The sequence below is a fragment of the Homo sapiens genome, chromosome 15 (genome assembly GCF_000001405.40).
Source record: "Homo sapiens chromosome 15, GRCh38.p14 Primary Assembly".
Lineage (NCBI taxonomy): Eukaryota > Metazoa > Chordata > Mammalia > Primates > Hominidae > Homo > Homo sapiens.
This window is the reverse complement of record NC_000015.10, coordinates 65,777,450-65,800,562: the sequence shown is the minus strand read 5'-3', so window position 1 is coordinate 65,800,562 and position 23,113 is coordinate 65,777,450. Positions and strand designations below refer to the sequence as shown.

The following is a 23,113-nucleotide window of genomic DNA, read 5'->3' as shown; positions in this document are numbered from 1 at the left end:
CCCACAGTGTTGGGATTACAGATGTGAGCCACCGCACCCAGCTGGATGGGGTAATATATTAACAGTAAAGAATCTGAATGAAGCCCATCCTTAGGTGAAAGTTTACAAATATTCCTAATGTTGTAGTATACCAAGACTTACTTCTTGCTAGCTATCAACCACCAAAAAACATGCATTTCCCTAATAATTAGGTAATGTTCAATATTCAGTCGTGCAAAATAGAAATCTAGTCTTACAAAATAAATAGTCTTGTAATCTTTCCTGACAACTAGCAGAGTGCATTGTATATAACAGTACAAAGATTGAGGGAATGAATTCTATGCCTAGGCACATGGCATTTAAGATTTTACTTTTTAAAAATCCACAAGGCAGTGTGGTTTGGTAGAAGCCTATTGGCCCAGGGATTGTAAGGCGTCTAGCCATGTGATTTGGGAAAACTCATTACGCCTTTCTGAGCTTTAGTTTCTTCATCTCCAAAATAGGATTTTCCTATGTATCCAGTGTATTTCATGGGGAGTTTGGAATGCTGAATTCCAAGAACCGATTGATATTTATGTAAAAGACAAACTAAAAAACTAGGAATCTAGGAATCTGGATTCTAGTCCTAGCTCTTCTCATGCTTTTGGGTGTACTGTATATGACTTTGGACAAGCCGCAGAGGGAAATGGTCACTTTTTGAAAATGAAATGTTCACTAGATGATCTCTGAGATTCATTCCTGCTAAAAATAATCCTATGTTCTGGATCAGAGAAACATGAAATCAATTTATGAGTGTCATTCTCATGAAGACATTATGATGTAGGTCAGATGATAAACTGTAAATCCATTTTTTAAAAATTGCCTGCCTCACATTAACTTTTTTATAGCCCAATCCATTTAGCCCTACCCTTGTCCAATTGTCCTACATGTTACCTAAACTCTAACCTTGAGATCTTCCTTTGCAACTGATGACCATTTTTATTACCCTTAGTATTTCAACTCCTGGCCCTACCCTTGCAGCAAACAGGGCCTTACTTTATGTGATCATCAGAATTTGAAATGGAAGAATATGTTTCTTGTCTCTTTTCATAATGCCACTAATTCCCCATTCCCTTTTAGCATACAGCTAGTTAAAAATGAATTGTATTATTAGGGAGACTGAGGCAGGAGGATCACTTGAGCCCAGGAGTTTGAGACCAGCCTGTGCAACATAGTGAGACCTTGTCTCAAAACCAACAAATAAAAACCAAAAAAAAAAAAAAAACCCAAAAAACAAAAAAAATGAGCTGTATAATTATATCCTCTCTTTAGCCTGACATCAAGGGTTCTGTGGATCTCTTTTCTTCAACTGTACCATCCATTACCTTCCAGAGAGAACTGCACAGGTAGGGAGCAGTTTGCACCCCCTGATTGTGCCATCTTCAAAAGCCTTTCTTTCGGCCAGGTGTGGTGGCTCACAACTGTAATCCTAGCACTTTGGGAGACCGAGGTGAGTGAATCATCTAAGGTCAGGAGTTTGAGGCCAGCCTGACCAGCATGGTGAAACCTCGTCTCCACTAAAAATACAAAAATTAGCTGGGCGTGGTGGCGCATGCCTGTAATCCCAGCTACTTGGGAGGCTGAGGCAAGAGAATCGTTTGAACCCCAGAGGCAGATGTTGCAGTGAGCCAAGATCGTGCCATTGCACTCCAGCTGGGGCAACAATAGCAAAATGCCATCTCAACAAAGTAAAAAAATTTTAAAGAAAATAAAATAAAAGCCTTTCTTCCATTTCAGATCTAATATAGTCAAGTAAAAGCCTCATCTCAATTCGACTTCCTTCTGTTTCTCTTTTAGCATAATTTTAAACTATGTAAGTTATTATGACATAAATCTAATACATCAATGTTTATTAAAATTAAATCTGCCGTTAAGATAATTACAACCAGATATGAATACTTGCAGGGTTATGAATGGGAAATGTAGAGGAAGGCTTTCCATTTCTAGGAGATAATAAAGTGATGCTGACACTAGAGAGCCCAAAATAGCTTTGGGGGATTATTTAATTAACAAGGTAACCACCTTACAAGAGGCTTTAGAAATCTTTTTTGTTTTAAATTTAAATGTTTATTATTAAAAGTCTATTGTTCTCCAAATCTTGAATAAGCTAATAGTTAAGAGTTTCTCCCTTCTGGACTAACTTTGCCCTTGATTTGGCGCACCTGATATAACTAACTGATCAATTTCTTTGTCTGCAGGCACATACGTAGGAAAGAACAAGATGCTTTTAGGGGCGGCAGCAGCTTAAATGCTTTCTCTCAATTAAGAGCCTTGTGTTGACAGTCTGAAAGTGTTCCAAATGAGAGACTATCTCCACCACACTAGAGAGGGGTAGGGGAGAGAGAAGCATAGGCCCTAGTCCCCTGCTCTTCTTAGGTAACATCAGGACTGGACATTGATGAACTTTCCACCAGGAATAGAAAGGAGAGGAGGAAGCTAGGAATCTCCAGTGATGTCTGGAACAACTGATCATGTTTCCTTAGAAAAATCAGCCTGCCAACACAGGGATGGATGAAGAAGGAAAGAGAAGAGATAGAAAATCCAGCTGGGCGTGGTGGCTCACGCCTGTAATCCCAGCACTTTGGGAGGCCGAGGCTGGTGGATCACTTGAGGTCAGGAGTTTGAGATGAGCTCGTTGCCTGGCCAACATGGTGAAGTCCCCTCTCTACTAAAAATGCAAAAATTAGCTGAGCATGGTGGCATGCACCTGTAATCCCAGTTACTCAGGAGGTGTAATCCCAGTTACCTGGGAGGTGGAGGTTGCAGTGAGCCAAGACTGCGCCACTGCACTCCAGCCTGGGCAACAGAAAGAGACTCTATCTCAAAAAAAAAAGAGAGAGAGAGAGATAGGAAATCCAATTAGATGACTACTGCAAAATTTCAGGCTAAAAAACAAACCAAAAGGTGTGGGTTTGAACTAGGTCAGTGGGAATGGGGATGAAGTGAGGGAGGATACTACTGATGTTAAGGAGATGACAACAATTCTTTTTCAAGATTAATTAGGTGTCAATGAATGAGGGAAAAAGAGGAGTTGATGACTCAGGTTTTGACTTTTTTTTTTTTTTTTTTTTTTTTTTTTTTGAGATGGAGTCTGTCTCCCAGGCTGGAGTGCAGTGGCATGATCTTGGCTCACTGTAACCTCCGCCACCTGGGTTCTAGTGATTCTCCTGACTCAGCCTCCAGAGTAGCTGGGACTACAGGTGCATGCCCAGCTAATTTTTGTATTTTCGGTAGAGACAGGGTTTCACCATGTTGGACAGGCTGGTCTCGAACTCCTAAAAAAAAAAAAATTCAGTCTCCACAGGCGGCTTTAGCTTTTAGGTGCATGGTGAGTTCAACTATAAATTATTCAGGAAATGAGAAATTATAGGAGTAACAGGTTTGGGGTAAAGATAATGACTTCACCTTTAAATGCTGAATTTCAGGTATACTTGGGACTGAGCTATCTGGAGGCAGTTGAATACACAATCCTGAAGTGCAGGAGAGAGGTATGGACTAAAGACGTGTGTGTCTCCTATTCTGAGTGATTATATAGACAGAAAAGAGGAGGGCTTTTTTTAAATTTTTTTTTTAGTTTATTCTCAATTGCAGGTGTTTCCCCTTGCTGGCAGAGTTCCTTTAAGTCTTGACAATAAAAAGGGCATTCTTGTTGTCCACCCTTGTAGGATGCATGTCTGGGCCAATCAATAAAAAGAAAAGACTTGTGGTGTCTGATTTGTTCTGCTTCAGGTTTCCCAAATAGCCTAGCTATAACAACAGTGCTGAGTTCATGAGAAAAGCTGACTCATATTTCCTGCAAGTCAGCACAGATATCCATCCTTCCAAAGAATTTGAACCTCTGGCCACTCCCAAAGACAATCAAAGTATTGCAACAATTTATGAGCATCTCTTTCTTTTGTTAGCTCTATTATAAAGATGCAAAGTAAAAACAAACAAACAAACACACCTTTCCTTCCTTGTACCACCCTCAGCCCCGTTCCCCAAACAACGATGTCCTTATCCTTCAGAGAAAGTCCAGTTTCTCTCAGGGTTGGTCCAAATGCCATCTATTTTGTCTATTTTGTCACCTTCAATTCTCACAATGAGAATTAATCACTCCACTCGCTTGGGCTCCCATAGCAACGAGTTTATCCATCTAGCATAGAATTTGTCATAGTTTGACTTTTACTAAAGTTATATGCCTAGGAAATACTTTTTGCCTCTAATGTGTGCTTATCTGTCATTGCTTTCCTTCTGTGCCTAGTGCAGTGTTTTGTATACAAATGTTTTCTGAAGTGAATTTGTTAAAAGTTATGAAAATATTGTCTACCACTTCAAGAAAGTCAGAGGAGTATACTTCGTGGTCAATGACAGTTAAAATACATATTTTTAAAACAACTCCCCTGCAGATAATTTAAGAAGTAAAAATTCAACTTATAAGGAATTGCTGAAAGAGGTAAAATTGTTAATTTGAGGAAAATGTTGAGAAGTGATCATTTTCAGAAATTTGAAAAAGTGCTGAGTCAAAGATATGACTCCTCAGATGGCTACCAAAACGGCAGAGACAGCAATGGCTCAGACTGCTACAGCTCTCCTGTCCTTGGCCACTCTTCTCAAGCACCAGGTTTAGAATTTATATTTCTTTTTTTTTTTTTTTTTGAGATAGGATCTTGCTCTGTCACCCAGGCCAGAATACTGGGGTGGGATCTTAGCTCATCGCAGCTTTGAACTCCTGGGTTCAAGCAGTCTTCCCAACTCAGCCTCCCAAGTAGCTGGGACTACAGGCATGTGCCACCATGTCTGTTTTTTGTTTGTTTGTTTTTGTTTTTTTTTTGTAGAGATGAGGTCTTGATATGTTGCCCAGGCTGGTTTCAAACTCCTGGGCTCAAGTGATTCTCCCACCTCGGCATCTCAAAGTGCTGGTATTGCAGGCATGAGCCACCATGCCCAGCCAGAATTTCAGAATTTGTCACTTCTAACATGACTTTTCTTACTATTATTCTTGAAAATTGTTCAGATAATTTCTTTTTTCTTTTTTTTTTTTTTTGCAACCTCTGCCTCCTGGGCTCAAGTGATCCTCCCACCTCAGCCTCCCAAGTAGCTGGGACTACAGGCATGCATGCACCACCATCATGGGCTAATTTTTGTATTTTGGTAGAGATGGGGTTTTGCTATGTTGCCCAGGCTGGCAGATAATTTCTTTCAAAAATAATTTCATCAGGTTTGTGTTTTTAAGAAACAAATGGATAATTTGACCACATTGCTAATAAATTTTAGTTTTTGGATTAAATACATTGGAATGTCACTCAAACACTGTTTCACAGTGAATACAATTTGTCAATATGGATTCTGCTTTGTGACACATCTAAATAGTTTCTAATAGGCCATAGATCCCTGGTAGTTTTTCTCACCCATAAGGAAGCCCTGTAGCATAGCTATCAAGGACTGCTTTATGGGCCGGGTGTGGTGGCTCATGGCTGTAACCCCAACACTTTGAGAGACTGAGGAGAGCGGATCACCTGAGGTCAGGAGTTCGAGACCAGCCTGGCCAACATGGTGAAACCCCCATCTCTGCTAAAAATACAAAAATTAGCCAGGCGTAGTGGAGGGCGCCTATAATCCCAGCTACCCGGGAAGCAGGAGAATCGCTTGAACCCAGAAGGTAGAGGTTGCAGTGCGCCAAGATCACGCCACTGCACTCCAGCCTGGGCGACAGAGCAAGACTCTGTCTTAAAAAAAAAGGATTGCTCTCTAGAGGCTCCAGGTTTTCATTTAAAGATGTGAGAAACTTCTGGTATAGCAATTAAGGTGCATAGATTCAACAGGTGGAGAGGATTAGGCTGTACAACAGCTTGCGCTTCCATTGCTTTAAATGGTTATTGGTTTCATAGTTTTCCTTCATGCATCATTCAAATCACAGCATTTTAAAATAACTTCTAAGAAATAGCCGGATACAGTTCAACATATAAAATATGACAATTTCAGAAATGGCATGGGGCCAAAATTTATTATCCAAAAAATTCTATTTGGCTCATGTCTACATTGTTAGAATCCCTTGCCCAAATCACATCTAGGGTTTAGGTTTAACTGTGACTATAGTCACATATGCCTGGAGTGTTGAGAGGACTCCTGATATGACTGTTAAGGGGGGCTCTGAGGTACGATACTTCCTGGGTACACAGTCAAATGCTGCGTATTGGTTTTCTACTGTTTATCAATATTGTTCTTTAAGAAGCTATTTTCTCTGATTAAAAAAACCTTCACGCCTTTTAAACTTTTGAAAGGTTTTAGAATCTCATTGTGTATGCTACATGCAACTATATAACATTTTAATTGGTACTCTGTAGATGAAAATATTTGTGTGTATATATATATATATATGCACATATACATGTATAACCAACTAAAAGAGTGCTTTTGCTGCTAGTGGAATATTTTGATATGCCAAGCTACTCCTTAAAGAGGAATTGACCTGATACGTCTAGCAACACTTAAAACTAATGAAAGGCTAAATCTGTGTCCAATGGGTAAAGAATTGGGAGGGTTCCCAACTGGACTTTAAAAAAAGCTTTTTAAGGTAGGGCACAATGGCTCATGCCTGTAAACCCAGCACTATGGGAGGCTGAGGTGGGTGGATCACTTGACCCCAGGAATTCAAGACCGGCCTTAGGCAACATAGTGAGACATAGTCTCTACAAAAAACAGAAAAATTTGCTGGGTGTGGTGGTGGGCACCTGCAGTCCCAGCTACTCCAGAGGCTGAGGTGGGAGGATCAATTGAGCCTGGGAGGGAGGCTGTAGTAAGCCGTGATCAGGCCACTGCACTCCAGCCTGGGCAACATAGCAAGACTCTGTGTCAAAAACAAGTCTTTTTTTACAGCTTTAACTGACATACAGAGGACTACATATATTTAAAGTATGCAACTCGATTGTTTTGTTTTGTTTTAAAGCAAAATCTTGCTCTGTCACCCAGGCTGGAGTGCAGTGGCACAATCTCGGCTCACTGCAGCCTCCGGCTCTGGGGCTCAAGCGATCCTCCCACCTCAGCCTCTCAAGTAGCTGGGACCACAGGCGCACGCCACCACGCCCGGCTAATTTTTTGTATTTTTGGTGGAGACAGGGTTCTCGCCATTTTGCCAGGCTAGTCTTGAACTTCTGAGCTCAAGCTGACCCTCTTGCCTCGGCCTCCCTAAGCGTTGGGATTACAGGCATGAGCAAAGGCGCCTGGCCTCAGTTATTTTTCTAACCTTTATAGCATGTTTCCCCTTAAAATGTGCTTAAGTACTTTTTTATTGTCCCTCTTCTCCCACTAAACTGCAGTTTCCTGAAGGCAAAGGTTTTCTGTTTCCCTCACCACTGTGCACCCTCTGTATGGATGTTTGTTGACTGAATGAATGAATACAATGAAAGAACTGGAGGTAGGAAATAAAGTTGTAAACTTGGTTAGTAAAAGGCTATGCAATTTAGGAAAAGTTGACTTTAAAGCAGAGGGATTTTGGGGGTCCTGTTTCTTCTTTCATTTGTCCATGGAATAATGTCTAACATTTATTGAGTACTTTCAAGCACTATACTAAGTACTTCACAGGTACTATAGAATTTAACTCCCGAGCAACCCCATGGGGGTAATCAAGCTTTATTAACCTCATCTGTCAACAGCCATCAATGGTGGAGAGCCACAGTCAGGTTTAAGTAGGCCGTATCCAATTAATCCAAAGTAATCGACACCCCGTCAGTCAACAATAGCTGTTTCATCAACGTACTTTTCGGAGAAACCCCCTGAATTCCCCGCTTTACCTTTCTATCTTGGGACCGAAACCTACTCGGCGGTTGCTAACCCTTAAGGGAGTTTCCTGGAGAATGTGAGCACCCTTGGTGGAGGAGCAGCAGCTGCTCAGATCTAGCAAGTCTGAGACGAACCGAGCAAGGCAATCTCAGGACTCCCAGAGTGCCGGGGAGGAAGGAAGAAACAGGTCAGTTGGCGCGAACTGGATTCTTGTGCCTCTGGGTGACGAAAGGTGAAGGGATTGTACGCTTCGCCCACGCCAGCCTGGGGCTCGGGATCTCCTGACCCGACGGGGAACCACGGTGCGTTTCCCCAACTACACCGCACGTCACGGACTAAGGCGACTTAGTCCCGCCCACCTTCACCGCCCCATTATCAGTTTGGCGCTAGGACCCCACGACCCTCAACTCGGCCCTCTCCTCCCACTCGGGCCAGATCCGGCCTTCGATTGGTGCTCGCGGGCGTGATTCCCGCCCCCGCCCCTTCCGTCATTGCCAAGATGGCGCCGGTCGCGGTGGCCGCGGAGGCTAGAGTCGGAGAAAGAGGCGGAGGCAGTGGCGGCCGCGAGGGGAGGGGGAGTCCCGTCTGACTGAGACGGCAGGCCTGGGCGGGCGGGCGGGGGTGCCGCGAAGGGCGGAGCGCCGGGCTGGGGATGAGCTAAGCGGGCTCAGAGCGCCGCGGCATTCAGCCCCTCGTGTTCCGCTACCGCGCGTGCGGGATTCCGGCGCCGCTCTCCGAGCTCGATCCGCTGCTCGCACGGGAGCCAGCTGGGTGGTGAGTGCGGGGGCGGCGACCCGGGCAGCGGTGGCAGGTGGAGCTGTCACGGCCCGGAGAGGTGACAGCCGGGGGCGCGGGAGCGGGGCGGGTGGGTTCGGGGAGGAGGCACGGATGGCCGAGATCTCCGCCCGAGAGCTCCTGAGATCCGGGAGGTGCTCCGCGGCTCGGTCCGCCCCGGGATGGCGCGGCGGTGCTGAGAGTAGCACCCGCGCCTCTGCGTCGGACGCGTGGGGGGCTCCTGTGTTTTCATTCCAGATTTTCTATTCCAGGCTGGCCTGGGGCTGTTGTTATTTGGGAGTGGGGGCGGGGAGGGGGAGGTCCTGGATCTGGGATTTTGACAAGCCCGTTACGTAAGTCGGAGGTGGCTTCCCGGAATCCCACCTGCTCGGTATCTGAGACAGGCGGCGGGGGGAGCCCGGGGTGCCTGCAGGCCCACTTTTCCTCCCAGGGTCTGTTCAGCCTTCCCCGGCCCGCGGGCACGGGTTCTGCGTGAGCGCGGCCAGCGTCCAAGTTGACCAGTTTTTTTTCTAGTCTTTTTGGGGGGGTGTGTGGTGGGGGAAGGGAACTGTTCCTGGTTACCACCATTCCCTTTGAAGTTTATTGTTTTCTGGAGGTGGGGGGCAGGAAAAACAGTAAAAAGCTTGTGACCTAAAATTGGGTCGCAGCGACAGCTTTTCATTATCGTGCTTTTAAATGACAGATGTGCTGGAAGATTGTTGTTGTTGTTCCAATGTGCTTTTAATTCAAACGTATGGTTACGCCTAGAACCGTAGAGAGAGGTTTTTGTCTTATAGGACAGTTATTTCTTGTTTGCAACAGCAGGACAGGCATCAGTCAACAGGCATGTATTTATTTGAGGAGAAAACGCGTGTCAGCCAGCTAGAGACCCGTGAGGGCAGAAATTGTATTACTCTGTGAATATGTTATTCTTTAAAATGTATTATACGTTAATGAAAAGAATAGCCCGAATGTAAAAGAAGTCTTAGAAGATTACAAGCTGTTATTTGGTGTGTATATAGTCTCCTTCTATTTTCTGTTTACCCTAGTATACCTCTTCTCTCCTTGGGGGAGGAGGTGGAGACACCTGTAAACAGCGTAGCCCCGGTTACGCTAATCTATTGTAGTACATTTGGGATTATTTTAAGAAGTATTCTGGGGGACCTAAGATTGGGTAATAAGTAAGGACTCTTGAGCAAGTTATTCAGTTTATGTTGATAGCGGTTCTGGGATTCGACTTCTGAAAACTTAAGTATACAAAATTTCTGAGCTGTTTGAACCCTGTTTGAACTTAAAATAAAATATTATATTTGGCTTCTTTTTTGGAAACTGTTTTGGGCAGAATTAAACATTTTCGGCAATTTTTACTTTATTTTCACGATTTCCCTTTGAACCACAGCTCTCAGTAGGAGTCCAGAACAGCATATGTTATCATCATCATTATATATAATATGTTACATAATTTTCTTTTTCTGAATGATTAAACATAGACCTACTTCACTGTGGAGTTTAATTTTTGTTTTATATTATTTTTTAAGCCCCTTCCATTCTGGGATCACTGTGGAATTTTATAACAGTGTACTTGCTGAGAAAGTTAATTGATCTTGATACCAGTCGCAAATTGGGAATAAATGTAGATAACTTTTGGTCCAAGTTTTAAACTTATATACACAAATTTACATTTTTGAAAATTGGTGAAGCAATATGAATTTTTTGTCTGTGCAAGAGAGCCAGGAAGTTGATGCTGATTTGTTCTGAACTTTTCCACATGAATTACCACTGGTTTAAAGAGTTATTGATTCTCAAGTTCCTGGAACTGTTGTCCTATTTCTGGTAACTTGAATAGTATTTAGTATAATTGGGAGGCTAGAAGAAGAGACTACATGACATTTATTAATTCATTAAAAAAATTATGGCAGAATTGTAAAATAAAATTAGCTGGGATTAATAGAATTGTAAAATAAAAGTAGCTGGGACTACAGGCGTGCACCACCGTGCTTGGCTAATTTTTGTATTTTTTGAGACGGGGTTTCGCCATGTTGCCCAGACTGGTTTTGAACTCGTGAGCCCAAGCAATCTGCCCGCCTTGGCCTCCCAAAGTGCTGAGATTACAGGCGTGAGCTACCGCACCCGGCCAGTTATTACTCTTATAACTGCTATTATAAAACTTGGTTTTCCACTGAGTGATATTAGTTACATTATATTTTGTTGTTTGCAGAATTTTTCAAAGCATTCTATGTCCTACAAAAACCTAGTTAAAGCACTGATGCAGATAGAGTTGTTTGGTATATAATAAACCTTGTGCTATTCCTACTTAAATTGATGGTGCGTTGTTCTAGGTGGAAAACAAAAGTTGCTCTAGCAGGAAAATTGACTTGTTATTCTTGCCTTCTCTGATGTCAGAGACTTATCTTTGTGGGATTTTTCCTTTTTCCTACCACAGGTAGAAGAAGAGTGACTGAGAATAGCTGATACATTTTTCTTCCTTTTTTTTTTTTTTAATCTAATACCCTATATTGATTGTTTATTCAGTAGAATTTGTGGGAGGATGCTGGGCGTGGAGGGAGTCAAGCACACCACACTTTATTATTGTATATCATAGTTATCACTTTGAATTCTACAAGACCAATGTAGAAATGTACTTTTAAGAAGTGATTAGGCCCTATGAGGTGGCTCACGCCTGTTATTACAGCCCTTTGGGAGGCCAAGGCAGGAGGATCCCGTGAGCCCAGGAGTTTGAGACTGCAGTGAGTTATGATTGTGCCACTGCACTCCAACCTGGGCAACAGAGTAAGACCCTGTCTCAAAAAACAAAAGTTTTTTTTAAAACTTAGCATTTTATAAGAGTGGAACAATTTTAATAGTCAAATGCATTATAGTATGGGAATGGTGAAATTAATGATAATCTATATGGTGGATACAACTTCTAAAAATCATTTTAAAAATGTACTGACATAAGTATAATATAATATTAAGAGAAAAATTAGAATATAAAGAAACATATACATGTAAATGGCAAAAAGATTTGCAGGAGACATATAAAATAGTAAGAGATGTTATCCCTGGGTGATCGGATTATGGGTAATTTTTATTTTAGTTTTTGTGCTTTTCTCTATTCTGAATAATTATTACTTTTTTTTTTTTTTTTTTTTTTTAAGACAAGTCCTGGCTCTGTCACCCAGGCTGGGGTGCAGTGGCGTGATCTTAGCTCACTGCAACCTCCACCTCCTGGGCTCAAGCCATCCTCCCACCTTGGCCTCTTAAGTAGCTGGGACTACAGGTGTGCACCACTGTGCTTGGCTAATGTTTGTATTTTTTTAGATGGGGTTTTGCCATGTTGCCCAGCCTGGTCTTGAACTCGTGAGCCCAAGTAGTCTGCCCGCGTTGGCCTCCCAAAGTGCTGTGATTACTGCACCTGGCCGGTTATTACTCTTATAATTACAAAGAAGACATTGAAATATTTTCAAGGGTCATAGGAGAAAATACTGAAAATCCCAAATAACTATTGCTACAGTAGGAAAACTATCTTAAGATTCATTGTTAGCAAAACTAACCCAAAATATCATGCTTATTTGCATTACACAATAATAGACACAGCTTGTAATTTAGATGAAGGTGTTCTCTTAACCAGCGCTGGCCAGGCGCAGTGGCTCACGCCTGTAATCCCAGCACTTTGGGAGGCCGAGGTGGGCGGATCGCAAGGTCAGGAGATCGAGACCATCCTGGCTAACACGGTGAAACCCTGTCTCTACTAAAATACAAAAAATTAGCCGGGCGTGGTGGCAGGCGCCTGTAGTCCCAGCTACTCGGGAGGCTGAGGCAGGAGAATGGCGTGAACCTGGGAGGCGGAGCTTGCAGTGAGCAGAGATAGCGCCACTGCACCCCAGCCTGGGTGGCAGAACGAGACTCTGTCTCAAAAAAAAAAAAATAAATAAATAAATAACCAGCACTAACCTTGTAATAGTTTTACATATGTGGATTTTTGTGTCATTAAACATTGCTTCTCTCCAAGCTTTTTCTTTCCTCCACCAAAGCTGTTCTGTGTTGACAGTGCCACGTATTGATGGATTCCTCTGCTTAGTCATTTCCCCATTACTTCATCAGTCAGTAGGCAATGGTCTTTGATTATGAGATGCCAGATAATTTGCTAGTTACTGAGATTACAAAGGTAAATAAATGAATAGTGATTTCTGCCCTCAGACCCTGGGTCACAATGCTTTTTTTGCTTTCTGGACCATCAGTACATATTGTGTACTCTGCTTTTCCTGTTTCTCTGCCAGTAGCCTGGCACCTTAGGCAGTATCTTTTTCCTGGTGCTCATATCCTTTTGTAACTTTCTTCATGGGAAGGTATGCTGTGAGTTCTAGACAAAAAATTTACAAATAAATTTTTGAAACATTACTTGATTGTAGGTTCGGGAATGCTATATTTAGAAGGGCTGGGTATATATTCATCTATGGCCGTTATTATTTTTAAAATGTGTGACACTTTCTTAGTTCCTACTTTGTGCTTCCTTCTGTTAAAAATCACAAGTAGAAAGCAAGAGAGAGAAGAGACAAAAAAGAAAGAGGTAGAAAGATATCAAGGGAATTTTCCTGCTAGTGTTATACTTTATTTTCACTGAGAATAGTGAGTCATTAAAATGTATAGTAAGAGAGATACTGTTTCTGATATACTTTGTTAAAACCTGTCTCTCTTGATCTGTGTAAAAATGTGTTTTCCATATGTATGTTAAAGTGTATATACATACATAAGTTCACACAGTTTAGCTGTTTTTGTTTTCAAATGAAAGCTGAAATATGAAGATCAGAACTTTATTAAATTTCTTAATTTTATTGTAATATTGTTTTGTAGATGAGAGATTTTTATTTTTGAAAAGTTTTAAAAATAAATAGCAAAAATGTATACACCCACATACCCACATATAAAATGTTAACATATTTCATTTTTGCTTCAGATATATATTTAATTTAAAATAACTATTTATATCATAGTTATCACATTGAATTCTAAAAGAGCAATGTAGAACTTTATACTTTTCTTGAATATTACAGATCATGTTAAAGTCCCTTTTGTTCTCCCCAGTTTTATCCTCCTCACCTTCATCTCCCCTCCCAGAGGAAATTGTTGTAATGAATTTGATTTGTATCCTTCTAGTTTATCTTTTAATAAACTATATATATGAGCAATGACATGGCATTGCTTTGGGTGCTTTTGTAGAACATGCACATTGTAGTACATTTCAAATCATACTCCCTTGGTGTGAATCTTGACTCTGCTACTTAATTTTGTGACCTTAGGTAAGTTATTTAATTCTTTACATGCCTCAGTGTCCTCATCTATCACATAGGGATGATAGAGGTGTCCACTTCATAGAATTGTTGTAAAAATTAAATGAGCTTATTTATTTGTTTTACTTATTTTTATTAATTTTTTTTTCTTTTTAGAGACTGGGTTTCATCATGTTGCCTAGGCTGGTCTCAAACACCTGGGCTCAAGCAATCCTACCGCCTTGGCCTCCCAAAGTGCTGGGATTATAGGCATGAGCAACTGTGCCTGGCCTAAATGAGCTAATTTATATAAGGTGGTAAAAACTGAGCCTGGCACTAGAAAAAAAACAAAACATGTATGTTCTAGTAAGTTTAAGCAGCTGTTAATATGATTGTGTCATGGTATAATGGATTTTAAAGCTTGCTTTTTTCATTTTATTTTTTTCTGCCCTCAATCCTTGTTGATACTGTAGGTGTAGTTCATTTATTTACACAGCTGTATAGTGTTCCAGTGAATGAATATATACAATTTATCATTTCTTCTATTGATGAGCATTTAAATTGTTTTCATTTTTTATCTATTATAAACATTGCCTCATGAATATTCTTGTAGCTCCTGAAGCAACATGCCATAGTTTCTCCAGGTCATATACCTGACTGTCAAATTGCTGGGTCCTAGGATATAAATATTTTTCCCTTTATAAGATATTTATAGGATATTGCAAACAATTTCTGTTTTTTCATATCCTTGCCAGCAGTTAGGGTTATCAAATTCTTTGATTTCTTACTGATTTGTAAGTTTTTTTGTTTGTTTTTAGGTATTTTCAGGATAGTTACAAATGTTAGGAAAACTTATTTTTATTTGGCTTTTGAAGTTTCCAGATTTCTTGAACAGTGACCAATATGGACCCAAGTTACTGTAATTTTGTCCTATAGTATATATTGTTGATAGTGAGCTTTCCAATGTACTTTCTCCAAGTATGTTTAGTTATGCTCCTTTTCTGAGACCATGAGGAAGTGTTTCAGTGTTTCAGAATTCAATGTGATAACTATTATATACGTAGTTATTTTTTATTAAATATATATCTGAAGCAAAAATGAAAAATGTTAATGCTTTATATATGAGTATGTGAGTGTATACTACATTTTTCGGTAATTTTATTTTTAAAACTTTTCAAAAATAAAAATGTCTCGTACAAAACAATATAACAACAAAAAGAATTTAATAATTTTTTTTTTTTTTTTTTTTAGAGACAGGATGTTGCTCTGTCACCCAGGTTGGAGCGCGGTGATGTGATCATGGCTCACTGCAACCTCAACCCCTTGGGCTCAAATGATCCTCCTACCACAGCCTCCCGAGTAGCTGGTACTACAGGCACATGTCACCATTCCTGGCTAATTTTTTTTTTTTTTTCTTGTAGAGACTAGGTTTTGCCATGTTGCCCAGGCTGGTCTCAAACTATGTGCCTGCCTTGGCCCCCCAAAGTGCTGGAATTATAATCGTGAGCCACCATGCCCAGCCTTTATAAATTTCTGATCTTTGTATTTCGGCTTTCATTTAGAAACAAAAAAAATATTTACCACTACAAAAGCCATGTGGATTTTTTTTTTTTTGAGACAGAGTCTCGTTCTGTCACCCAGGCTGGAGTGCAGTGGTGGCTCACTGCAACCTCCGCCTCCCAGGTTCAAGCAATTCCCAAGTAGCTGGGACTACAGGCATACACCACCATGCCTTGCTAATTTTTGTATTTTTTGTTAGAGGTGGGGTTTCACCATCTTGGTCAGGCTGGTCTTAAACTCCTGACCTAAAGTGATCTGCCCGCCTCAGGCTCCCAAAGTGCTGGGATTACAGGCATGAGACACCATTGCCCGGCCCAGGTGGAATTTTTATTAATATAATTAGTACCACAGTTTTGCTTTAGTCCCAAATTTGAGTGGCCTCCTCCTGCTTGGAGGAGGGCTTTCTGCTCCTGTAGTTCTTACCAATTAAGGAATCAAAATGTGCACATAAAAAAATGACTTATAGGCACTTACACATACAGTATTATAAATGGTTCATCAATGTTGAGATTATTTTGCACAATACTACCTGTATTTCTGTTTTTGTCCAACCCACTATACATGCCTTAAAGGACTAAAATCAGATTGGTTAAGGCAACAACTTCCCCATATTTTTATTTAATTTGAATAAATGTTTTCTTATAAAATATGTTTAGATTTACAGAAAAGTTACAGGGAGTTAAGGTATACCTTGCACCCAGTTTCCCCTATTTTTTTTTTTTTGTAAGAAATGGGGGTCTCGTCATGTTGCCAGTGTCTGACATTTCAATGTTAAATTTGTCACCGTTAAGGAACCAATGTTGGTACATTACTACTAACTAAAATTCATTTATTTGGATTTTGTTAGTTTTTACCTAAGGTTCTTTTTTGGTTCCAGGATCCTATCCAGAATACGACAATACATTTAGTTGACATCTTCCCTTAGCCTATCTGGGCTGTGATGGCATTTCAGACTTTCCTTGTTTTTGATGACTTTGATGGTTTTGAGGAGTATTGGTCAGGGATTTTGTAGAATGTCCCTCAGTTTGGGTTTGTCTGATGTTTTCTTCATGGTTAGACTGGGATTATGGGTTTGGGGGAGGAGAGTCACAGAGATAAAGTGCCGCTCTCATTGCATCATATCAAGGGGAAATACTATCAGTACGGCTTATCACTGATATTGTTAACCTCGGTCACCAGGCTGAGCTAGTGTTTGCCAGGTTTCTTTACTGTATTGTTTTCCCGTACTCGTCTTTTTGGAAACAAGTCATTAATTGTAGACCACACTCAGTAGGTCTGTTTTCTTAAAGGGGAGCTGTCTATAAAATTATTTGGAATTCTTCTGCTATGGATAGTCTTTTTTTCTTCTCCGTTTATATATTTATTCAATCATTTATTTATATATGTATGGACTCATAGATGGTTATTTTATACTTGGGGTCATAATCCTATACTACTTTATTTATTTTGTTGCTCAAATTTTTCTACCAACAGGACATACTCCATTGTTTTGTTTTTTGAGTACTTCCTTACTTTCTGGCACTAGAAGAAGTTCCAGACTCATCTTGTATATTTCCTGCCCCAGCCCTAGAATCAGCCATTTTTCCAAGGATCCCTGGTTCTATTTTTTGGTGAATCATGTTAGAAACCAAGATCTGGTTACTCAGTGTGCTCATTGCTGTTGGAATATCATGACTTCTAGGCCTTTTCAGTGTATAGACCTGGAAAATATATGTATGTATACACATATATAACTATTATCTGTATCTATATTGAGGTAAACATGAGTTCATACTGATGACTTTGACTATCAGTACTATATAGTTCATTCTGGCTTTACTCTGCTATCTATTACCTCCCTCTCCAAAAGTGAGAAATCTGGCTCACGCCATCTGACATCTATTAACTTATTTGTTCAGTCCCATCGTCCATGTACAGCACTTTTAGAATTGTTAACCTGTATCTCCATGAGAAATGCCTTTACCAAAAAAGAACAGTGCTTATATACAGTTCTTTTTGTTGTTAGAGTTTCCAGTTTCAAGTTTCCCAAAGTTACTTAAATCAAACCTTTTCCCCTGACATCTGTATTTTAATTTTATTTTTAATAAATTGATCTAAATTACATGGTAATTATATATAAAGCTTATAAAAAATTTCCCTTGCCCAACTAAAGATCTTTAGCTTTAGATGTGTTTTTTTTTCCTCCTGACTTTTGTGACCAAAAAAAAAAAAAAGATCCCTTCCATCAGTAGTATTTCCTGAGGTTTAGTCAGAATAGCACTGCTTCATTTGGTTGTTAGTTGACATCTTTACATTTGGACTAAGAATTATTATTGCTTCAGATATTTTTAGTGGTACATATTGATAAATGCTCTTTGATAGAGCATTAAGATTACTGCAACTAAACAAATATGTAATAATATTTGAAAGCTTAAAATGTACCTGTATTCTTGTGGTAACTTTGTATGTTTTAGCTAATTTAACTCCCCCAAGAAGTCTATGAGGTAAATAATTATTTTGCCCATTTATTTTTATTTTATTTTTTTGTTTTCAGGGTATGTGTATGTGTGTATGTGTGTGTGTTATTTTGCCCATTTTAAAGTTGAAGAAGTTAAGACACAGAGATGTTAAACAACTTGTCCGAGGTCACATTGCTAGTAAATGACAAAGCTGCAGTTTGCAACCAGTCTGATTGTGGAGCCTGCACTCTTAATCACTTTGGCATATTATCTTTAAATAAATAAGAAAAGTTCGAAGAGTAGTAAGGGTAATGAAGGAAGTAAAACAGGGTGATCTGAGAGAATGAACGAAAGAGGGTCCTTAGAGTACTTCTTGGGGAAGCCGTCTCTTGGGAGATTGACGCTGGACAAGCAAGAAGGAGCCAGAAATGTGAAGAGCTGAGTGAGGAAAGAGGAATATCAAGTGCAAAGCCTTGCAATGCAAAGGGTCCTGGGATGTTTGAGAGCAGAAAGGCACCTGATGTGGCTAGGTGTAGTGAACAAGGGTGAAAACAGTCTATGAGGGCCTGTAACACTTACTATATGTGAGGTCCCGTGTAGTACATTGTTTAGTATTCACAGTCACCTACTATCTCAGTTTTGCAGATGAGAAAATAGAGTTGTCTGTATCAATGACAAGGGCCCTTGTGGGGCCCTAAAATCCTTTTTCTCTTATTTACTCTTTATCCCACTGTAGTTTAATTTCTACTTTTTCATATCACTAAACTTGCTCTTGTAAAGTAACCAGTGACAATAATACTTTCTCAAGAAACTCTGTCCCATTACTTCCACTATGCCATCCCCTTTTGTGTATTCTCTGCCTGTCCCATAAACAGTGGTGTTTCTGAGTTGGCCAGTTGCTCTTCTCAGCCTTCACATTGTTCTAAGTTACAGTTATCCCTATAGTTTCAGTTACCATGTATCTACCCATTACTCCCCAGGCCATTTTTTCCAGCATCAGTATCTTTCCAAAGCATCAGATTAGATTATTTTATTTATCGCCTTCACTTCATCTCTTCTTGTCCAAACTGGACTTTATTTACCTATCTATAGTTTTTCTTTCAAAGACATCATGGACTACTGTTGACTTCATCAACCAAGGAAGAAACTTTGGAATCATTCATGATTTCTTCCATCTCCCTCTCTCTCTCTCATTCCTTACATCCATTTATTTACTGAATTCTGCTGGATTTATCTCCTAAATATTTTTTGAATCAGTCACTTCCCCAGCATCCTTGTTCCAACTTCTGCGTTATTAGGAACTATTTCCTTACTTTTTCGTAGTTTTCCTGTCTTCGGTTTTATCTCCTTGAGATTCACCTTCTCAGAATTGCCAGAATGGTATGTTTGAAACATAAACCTGAAAATTCTTTACTGACTCCCCATTGTCAACATGATAAGGTTTTAGTATGTCATTAAAACTCTCCATGACTTGGCTTCTACCTGGTTCTCTAATCTTAACTCTAGTAATTTCTGCTTTCTACTTTCCACTCCAACTCTGCAGAGCTACTTTTTGAAGATTTGCTGAATATACGTACTATTTCTGGATTGTTGACCATTGCTTATGTAGTCCTTCTGCCTGGAATGCCTTTGTTTCCTCCTTCCTTTTTCTTTTTGCCTACCTAACTCCTTTACAACTTTTAGGACTCAGCTGGGCATTACTTTCTCTAGAACGCCTTCTCAGATCCATACTCTTGCCTGGATAATTGGGTCCCTCCCAGAATAATCTATTGGTAACTATGTTATAGCTCAAGCACCCAGACCAGACATGGCACTCAGTAAGAATTTATGGAATGAACTATAGTATTGGAGAAGCAGGATAAAGTAGTTGGTTCCAGACCCAGACTGTCTGGGATTGAAACGTGACTTTGCTGTTTGACTGTGTTAACTCTGTGTACCTCATTTTCTTCCCTGTAAATGGGGTTATTGATGCCTTCATAAGGTGTTTGTGAAGCTTAAGTTTGCTAGTGCAAGTAAAGTACTTAGAACAATGCCTATGACTAATAAATATTCAGTAAGTAAGCTATTATAACTATCGTTGCCCTTAAATATTTTAATTTATGTATCTTCTCCACCAGGCTATGAATTAGTGAATGAAAGAACAAACCAACTAATCCTGGGTTTTAAAATCAAAGACACAACCCTAGCTTTTGAAAATGTCATGGAAAGTTGACCATTAGTCTTTCTAGGAGGTCCAACATTTGGTGTCCTGTCACAAATTTGAAATTGGTGTTGATGATGATTAGTATTTCTTAATTGTACCACTTAATTAGTTGCTTATTTAAAATTCAGCATACTTTTCTTATTAATAGCACTGTTTAAACTCTAGGAATGCCCTTTACTTACTTTTAATCTTCATTTAATCTGTACTGTAGCATTTAACTAGCCTTTTCTCTTTTGGATTAAGGTGTGAGGGAGGTAGCTGTACTAAGACTATATTTTTTTATTCGGGCATAAATGAAAGCATGTTACAGAGAAAGGTTGAACAAGAGCACAGAATGGGCCTAGCGGGGTGGTGCACACCTGTAATCCCAACGCTTTGGGAGGCCAAGGCGTACGGATCTCTCGAGCCCGCAATATGTCATTAAAAATTATTGATACCTCTGCCTTCTTCCATTATTGTAAACAGTTACAATAAATCTTTACTTAAATTTTTTTTTTCCCTGCTAGGTGTGGTGGCTCATGCCTGTAATCCCAGTGCTTTGGGAGGCCAAGCAGGAGGATCACTTGAGCCCAGGAGTTTGAGACTGGCCTGGGCAACATAGCTAGACCCCATTTCTCCAAAAATAAATAAATAAATAAATAAAGTCCAGACACTGTGGCTCACGCCTGTAATCCCAGCCTGGCCAACATGGCAAAACCCCATCTCTACTAAAAATACAAAAATTAGCTGGGCATGGTGGTATATGCCTGTAATCCCAGCTACTTGGCAGACTGAGGCACAAGAATTGCTTGAACCTAGGAGGCAGAGGTTGCAGTGAGCTGAGATCGCACTACTGCACTCTAGCCTGGGTGACAGAGTGAGACTCTTTCTCGAAAACAAACGAAAAACACCACCTAGCTAGCCAGGCATGGTAGTGTTCCCCTGTAGAGGCTGAGGTGGGAGGATCACTTGAGCCCAGGAGTTTGAGGCAGCAGTGAGCTATGATTGTGCCACACACCCCAGCCTCAGCAACAGTTTCTTGTCTTTAAAAACAAAACAAACAAACAAACTAAAAAACAGCTTTTTTTTCCTTCTCTTTTTTTTTTTTTTTTGAGACAGAGTCTCACTCTATCTCCCAGGCTGGGGTGCAATCTCGGCTCACTGCAACCTCTGCCTCCCAGGTTCAAGCGATTCTCCTGCCTCAGCCTCCCGAGTAGCTGGGATTATAGGTGTGCACCACCATGCCTGGCTAATTTTTCTATTTTTAGTAGAGACGGGGTTTCACCATGTTGGCCAAGATGGTCTTGAACTCCTGATCCCAGACGATCCACGCGCCTCGGCCTCCCAAAGTGCTGGGATTACAGGTGTGAGCCACTGCGCCTGGCCTTTTTCCTTCTCTTGAATTTGTATCTTGAGATTAACAAAGGTTTTTTTTCCTTCTAATTTTTATTTATTTATTCTAGACATGTGGTCTCGCCATATTTCCCAGGTTGGCCTCAAATTCCTGGGCTCAAGCCGTCTTACTGTCTCTGCCTTCTGAGTGGCTGAAACTGTAGGCATGCACCACCTTATGGGGCCCTAAAATCCTTTTTATAGCAGTCAGTATTTAATTGCATGTTGGCCTCCTCTGAGCTGAAAGCAACATAGCCTTTTTTTTTTTTTTTTTGATGCGGAGTCTCGTTGTGTCACCCGGGCTGGAGTGCAGTGGCGTGATCTCAGCTCACTGCAACCTCTGCTTCCTGGGTTCAAGCGATTCTCCTGCCTCAGCCTCCTGAGTAGCTGGGATTACAGGCACGTGCCACCATGCCCAGATAATTTTGTATTTTTAGTAGAGACGGAGTTTCACTGTTAGCTAGGATGGTCTCGATCTCCTGACCTCGTGATCCGCCCGCCTCATCCTCTCAAAGTGCTGGGATTACAGGCATGAGCCACTGCATCTGGCCTGCAACATAACTTTTTATATGCACTAGGAAACCAAAAAATTCATGTGACTTCCTTTATTGTGATATTGGTTTTATCGTAGTGATGTGGAACCTAACCTGTAGTATTTCTGAGGTATAGCTGTAATGACTGTGGTACTGGGGAACGCTTTTTTTTTTTTTTTTTTAGGTCACTGTATTTTACCACTGAGTATTTTAGTTGAGGACTCTGAAATGTCATGTTTTTAAGATAAATGGGTGTAGATGGGTGGGGGAAACTATACAGTGTTACTTTGGCTTGTTAGATAAGACTGGCTGTTATCACCAGAGAAGAAAAACCTCACCCCCTTTTTGGTCAAAATTGTAGTAACTGATATTATTTTTCTTTAAAAAATAATTTGTTCAGATAAAGTCTAAGAAATTCCCTATTAATCTCTCATTTTTTCTGGACACCAGAACTTTGTAATAGAATTTTATTCATACTTACTCATAACTACACTGAAGTTGGATTTATAGAATATTGTTTGAAACTGCTGTTTGGTGAATATTTTTCATTTTATTGTGCTGAGGAATATCTGAAGATACCAGCTTAACAGCCTTTTTTTTTTGATACGGAGTCTCCCTCTGTCGCCCAGGCTGGAGTGCATTGGCCTGATCTCAGCTCACTGCGACCTCTGCCTCCGGGTTCAAGCGATTCTTCTGCCTCAGCCTTCCAGTAGCTGGGACTACAGGTGCATCCCACCATGCCCAGCTACCTTTTTATATTTTTATTTGAGACAGGGTTTCACCGTATTGGCCAGACTGGTCTCGAACTCCTGACCTTGTGATCTGCCCACTTTGGCCTCCCACAGTGTTGGGATTACAGGTGTGAGCCACTGTGCCCAGCCTAACAGCCATTTTTTTAAACAAAACTTTTTTTTGGCTTCCTTGATTAACTGATATTTTGCTTTTCTTTTTTGAGGTTTGTTTAATCAATTTTTTTGTTTGTGGCCCGGTGCAGTGGCTCACACCCATAATGCTAGTACTTTGGGAGGCCAAGGCAGGCAGGTCACTTGAGATCAGCAGTTCGAGGCCAGCCTGGCTAACATGACGAAACCCCATCTGTACTAAAAATACAAAAATTAGCCAGGCGTGGTGGTGCGTGCTTGTGATCCCAGCTACTTGGGAGGCTGAGGCTGGAGAATCGCTTGA

The 23,113-nt window shown here is 40.6% G+C and overlaps 1 protein-coding gene and 1 long non-coding RNA gene across 29 annotated transcripts in view, besides 4 other annotated features; one reads left to right on the top strand and one right to left on the bottom strand.

The window, feature by feature from the left end:
• LOC105370866 (uncharacterized) overlaps positions 1–8,090 on the bottom strand; it is a 68,011-nt gene extending 59,921 nt beyond the window's left edge. For both annotated transcript variants that reach the window (XR_932372.2, XR_932373.2), the window contains exon 1: positions 7,791–8,090. This is a non-coding gene — a long non-coding RNA (uncharacterized LOC105370866). The remainder of the gene's footprint in view (positions 1–7,790) is intronic.
• Positions 7,417–8,382: an enhancer, noted in NCBI's record as "NANOG-H3K27ac hESC enhancer chr15:66084519-66085484 (GRCh37/hg19 assembly coordinates)". NCBI's record gives its function as "activates a minimal SCP1, AML or CMV promoter by ChIP-STARR-seq in primed H9 embryonic stem cells {active_cell/tissue: H9 hESC(primed)}" and the evidence as "EXISTENCE:reporter gene assay evidence [ECO:0000049][PMID:30033119]".
• Positions 7,574–8,193: an enhancer, noted in NCBI's record as "active region_9605". NCBI's record gives its function as "activates an Ori minimal core promoter by ATAC-STARR-seq in GM12878 lymphoblastoid cells {active_cell/tissue: GM12878}" and the evidence as "EXISTENCE:reporter gene assay evidence [ECO:0000049][PMID:35858748]".
• DENND4A (DENN domain containing 4A) overlaps positions 8,270–23,113 on the top strand; it is a 133,171-nt gene continuing 118,327 nt past the window's right edge. For 21 of the 27 annotated variants that reach the window (NM_001376920.1, XM_047432100.1, XM_047432097.1 and 18 more), the window contains exon 1: positions 8,270–8,553. The gene's annotated coding sequence lies outside the window, so the exon portion shown is untranslated. Of the gene's footprint in view, positions 8,615–23,113 lie in introns of all 27 variants that reach the window. The other 6 variants (XM_047432102.1, XM_047432099.1, XM_047432095.1 and 3 more) reach the window with 1 other exon arrangement.
• Positions 8,384–8,713: a silencer, noted in NCBI's record as "silent region_6559". NCBI's record gives its function as "represses an Ori minimal core promoter by ATAC-STARR-seq in GM12878 lymphoblastoid cells {active_cell/tissue: GM12878}" and the evidence as "EXISTENCE:reporter gene assay evidence [ECO:0000049][PMID:35858748]".
• Positions 20,900–20,959: a silencer, noted in NCBI's record as "silent region_6558". NCBI's record gives its function as "represses an Ori minimal core promoter by ATAC-STARR-seq in GM12878 lymphoblastoid cells {active_cell/tissue: GM12878}" and the evidence as "EXISTENCE:reporter gene assay evidence [ECO:0000049][PMID:35858748]".